At 46.5% G+C, this 4,623-nt stretch overlaps 1 long non-coding RNA gene across 1 annotated transcript; it reads left to right on the top strand.

Annotated features, from left to right (window-relative positions):
* The first annotated feature begins 315 nt into the window (after positions 1-315).
* On the top strand, positions 316-4,379 carry LOC112268176 (uncharacterized). The gene is made up of 2 exons (XR_002957913.2): positions 316-635; positions 2,979-4,379. It is a non-coding gene; the product is annotated as an uncharacterized LOC112268176 (long non-coding RNA).
* The last annotated feature ends 244 nt before the right edge of the window (positions 4,380-4,623 follow it).

Below are 4,623 nucleotides of genomic sequence, written 5' to 3' on the forward strand. Positions count from 1 at the left end.
AGCACCCACAAACACCAGGCAGGCCCAGGCTAGGATCACAGGAGCGGGAGTAGGAGTGATGGAGTAACAGCTCGTCTCCACGCTCCCAGCATTCATTCCCTCATCCTCTGGTAGGTAAGCACCCAACTTTTCTTTGGGGATGGGCTCCTCTCCTACTCTCAGTCCATGCAGTTGAATGGAGTCTACGATGAGCTCAGGACCTCCCCACGGAGGCCATTATTCGTTCTCCTTTCTTTCTTTACAATGATTGGTTCAGAGCTGAGCACATGACCTGGGCCTGGCCAATCAACAAATAATATCCCATTTCCTTTCTTTCTCTACAGTGATTGGTTCAGAACTGACCACATGACCCAGGCCAACTAGTATCTAGCTCTCTAACTGCCTTGGGCCATCAAAACTCCCAAATCAAATATTGTTGACCTGGCTTGTGTCAAGTGCCCATCACTGAATTAGTCACTATGGCCAGGAGCAGATGGGCCCTCACTAGACAGAACTGGTCTGTGGCCGCCCATGGTGCCCGGGGTGAGGGCAGCTCCACCTGAACACAGAGAGTGGCAAAGGCAAAGTTTCCTGACATAGACGTTCCTGTTCCATTTGTCCCGCAAACGTTTAAACATCACACATACTTGGTTAAGGTAGGAAATAAAAAACAGCCTTTGTTCATTCTCTCTCTCTCTTTTTTTTTTTTTTTTTTTTTTTTTTTTGAGATGGAATTTAACGCTTGTCGCCCAGGCTAAAGTGCAGTGGTTCGATCTCGGCTCACTGCAACCTCCGCCTCACGGATTCAAGCCATTCTCCTGCCTCAGCCTCCCGAGTAACTGGGATTACAGACGTGTGCCACCACGCCTGGCTAATTTTTTGTATTTTTTTAAGTAGAGACGGGGTTTCACTATGTTGGACAGGCTGGTTTTGAACTCCTGGCCTCAAGCAATCCACTCGCCTTGGTTTCCCAAAGTGCTAGGATTACAGGCGTGAGCCACCACGCCTGGGCTGTTCACCGTCTCATAGAGACATTCACCATTGCTACTGAGTGTGGATAAAACTATGGACACCAGGGTTCAATTTCTAGCTATTCTACTCTGGCTGTTTGCCCTTGGAAGTTATTTAGCATTCCGTGCCTCTGTTTGCTCATCTGGAAAATGCAGAAAACATTCGTATCTGCCTCACTCGTTTAAAAGAATCAACGTTCTTAGGACAGTACCTGGCAAGAGTAACTGCTGTTGGTTTGGTTTGAGATTCTGAGAACCACTCTTCTGGATCATTCGCACATGCTGTAGTTTGAGTGGAAGTCATTAGAGGAGTATCGCTAATAGATAATAGAAAATTGTTTCAATGGCCCCTTCAGAACTAAAGGGTCTCTCTCTTTCCCAATGTCTGTGTTAATTCCTATAAAAAGACTCAGACCCGACATGGCTTCCAGCCCTTCTGGACCCCTCCTCAGTCTTGTGGGACTGATGGGTTCAGCACTCACATGCCCCACCCTGACTGTAAGAGCATGGGCCTTGTAATCTGTAAGAGCCCAGGCTCAAGACATCCCAAAAGACTCCTGTCTTGCTCTGAGTCTGTGCTGCTGGGAGGTGAGCGGAATGCAGTGACATGGAAAAGAAATGAATGGAGCAGAGGGGAAGTGGAAGAGAGGAGTGAGAGGAGCTTGAGTTGAAGTGGGAGGGATGGGGGTGGCCAACAGGGGGAGAGAGGAGGGAGATGGGATGGGATAGGATGAAGGGAGGAAGAGAGAAGTGGTGAAGTGGGGTAAGATGGGACTTATCTCCTGACCAAGCACACGTCTACCCCTGACATAGTCATCTAAACATGGAATCAGGGGATGATGATTTGGGGAGGGGACTTCAAGGTTGTCCTCCTTAGTAAGATCAACAAGAGGGAAGAGAACAGCCACTGTACAGGTAGGTGCAAGTATGGATCCCTCTGAGTGTACCTTTTGGTGCTTACCTACTCAAAGCTCACCAAGCCCTGTGCTTCCCTCTTCCTCAACCTGCAGAGCATCTCCCAGAACCCAGCCATGCCCTTAAACATTCCACGAAGACCTTAGTGAAGCACTATGACTTTCAAGCTTTGTTTTCATCCAGTCATTAGTGGCAGAGGCCACCAGGCTCCCACAGTGAGCCTTCATCAGTGGGAGTCAAATCCCAGGCATCAGGTGAGGACACTGGTGATTAGGTGACTTCCTCCTGTCCCACAGCCAGTGTCAGAACCTTGTTGAAAATCTACATATTCAGATTCCCAATTTAAATCATGTTGGAGATGGGCTGACAACTGAAGTGGGAAATAGACTCCAAGAAAAAAAAAAAGAAGTCTGTAAATCAGTGCCTTGCTACTCCTCAGCCCAGGGGAGCTACTCCCACGTCAGGACATGCCCTCCCTTTCCCTCTCCCCAGACAGAGCTCAGGGCACCCCACAGAGGGTCTCTGAAGAGGGAATGCCAGATTGGAATCCTCAAATATCTGGGGAGCTGGCCAGGTCTTGGCATTCCAGGGTCATAGATTCACTAATGACTCCCGTTGTTGAGCAGAGCTTGGACTGGTGGGCAGAGTGCTAGGAGGCATAATAGCAAGCAAGGTGGGCCAGGCGTGGTGGCTCAAGCTTGTAATCCCAGCACTTTGAGAGGCCAAGGCAAGTGGATCACCTGAGGTCAGGAGTTCAAGACAACCCTGGCCAACATGGTGAATCCCAACTCTACTAAAAATACAAAAGTTAGCCAGATGTGGTGGCATGCACCTGTAGTCCCAGCTAGTCAGAAGGCTGGGAAATACCAAGCGATTCAAGAGAATCGCTTGAACCCAGGAGGCAGAGATATACCTAAGAAGTCCAGAAGTGGATGCTTTGGATATAAATACAGGTAGGTGATATAGAAAAAAGACCCAGACAAGGAGATGTCGATGCTCATGTTTCATCATCAGATTTCTGCCTCTCTTCCTCCATCTGCGGCCTCTGATTTTCTGTGTTTAATTTATTCTCAGGCACACTACTTCTACGTGGTGGGGAAAATGGCACTTGGAAAATTCAGTTTCAATGGTCCTTTCAGAGCTACAGCATCTGTCTCTCAATGTCTATGTTAATTCCTCTAAAAGGACTCAGACCTGATGTGGCTCCCAGCCTTCTTGGACCCCTCCTATCTGTGGTACTGATGGGTACAGAACTCACACACCCTACCCTGGGTGTGAGTAAGAGCATGGGCCTTGTAATCTTGGCTTGTTTGGAAAGAGGAAGGGGAAATTCCAGAAGTGAAGGTCATAACAGTTTTCTGTCAGATGGGGTGGTGGCTCAAAGCAGAGGTTATGAGCCTGAGTATGTAGCTCCATCACCCAGTGTGAACTTGGGCAAGTCCTTACCTTTTCCCCTCTGCATCCTCTCCATCCACTTCCCTCACTGACATTCCAAAACACACACACACACATACACACACACACACACACACACACATTTTTATTTTAAGACAATTGTTGATTCACATGCAGTTTTAAGAAATGCTAGAGATCACAGACCAGGCACAGTGGCTCATGCCTGTAATCCAGGCACTTTGGGAGGTCGAGGCAGGTGGATCACTTGAGGTCAGGAGTTCGAGACTAGCCTGGCCAATGTGGCGAAACCCCATCTCTACTAAAAATACAAAAATTAGCTGGGAGTGTTGGCATGCACCTGTAATCCCAGCTACTCAAGTGGCTGAGGCAGAAGAATTGCTTGAACATGGGAAGCGGAGGTTACAGTGAGCCGAGATCGCACCACTGCACTCCGGACTGGGCAACAGAGTGAGACTCTGTCAAAGAATGAAAGAAAGAAAAAGTAATAATAGAGATCACAGAGCACTTTACTCAACTTTCCCCATAGTAACATCTTGCATACATGTAGTACAATATCACAACCAGGAAATTGACATTGATACCATCCACCAATCTTAGATTTTGCCAGCTTTACATGCACTCATGTGAGCTTGTTTGTGTGTTTAGTTCTATGTAGTTTCATCATGTGCACAGATTTGTGTGGCCACCGCCACAGTCAAGATCTACCACCAAGAGGTCTGTTGTGCTGTCCTTTTATTGCAACATCTACCTGCCTCCCTCCCCTACTCTCTGATCTGCAGCGATCATTAATCTGGTCTTCATTTATAATTTTGTAATTTCAAGAATGCTATAGAAATGGAATCATACAGTAGGTAACCTTTCAGGCCTGGCTTTTTCTTTCACTCAGCATAATTCCCTTGAGATCCATCCAAATGGTTGCATGTATCAATAGCTTGTTCCTTTTTATTGCTGACTAGTAATTCATAGTATGGATGTTCCACTGTTTAACTGTTTGCTTTTTGAAGGACATTTGGATTGTTTCCAATTATTGGCTGTTATGAATAAAGCTGCTATGAACGTTCATGTACAGGCTTTCGTGTGAATGTAAGTTTTCATTTCTCTGGGACAAATGCCCAAAAGTATAATTGCTGGGTCGTTATGGCAAACATATATTTAATTTCGTAAGAAACTGCCATATCTTTTTCAGAATGGCTGTTATATTTTACATTGCCACCAGCAATGATTGATTGATCCCAGTCCTCCACATCCTCACCAGCATTTGGCATTATCTCTATTTTTTTATTTTTACTGTGCCAATAGATGT

This window comes from Homo sapiens, chromosome 16 (genome assembly GCF_000001405.40).
Source record: "Homo sapiens chromosome 16, GRCh38.p14 Primary Assembly".
NCBI lineage: Eukaryota > Metazoa > Chordata > Mammalia > Primates > Hominidae > Homo > Homo sapiens.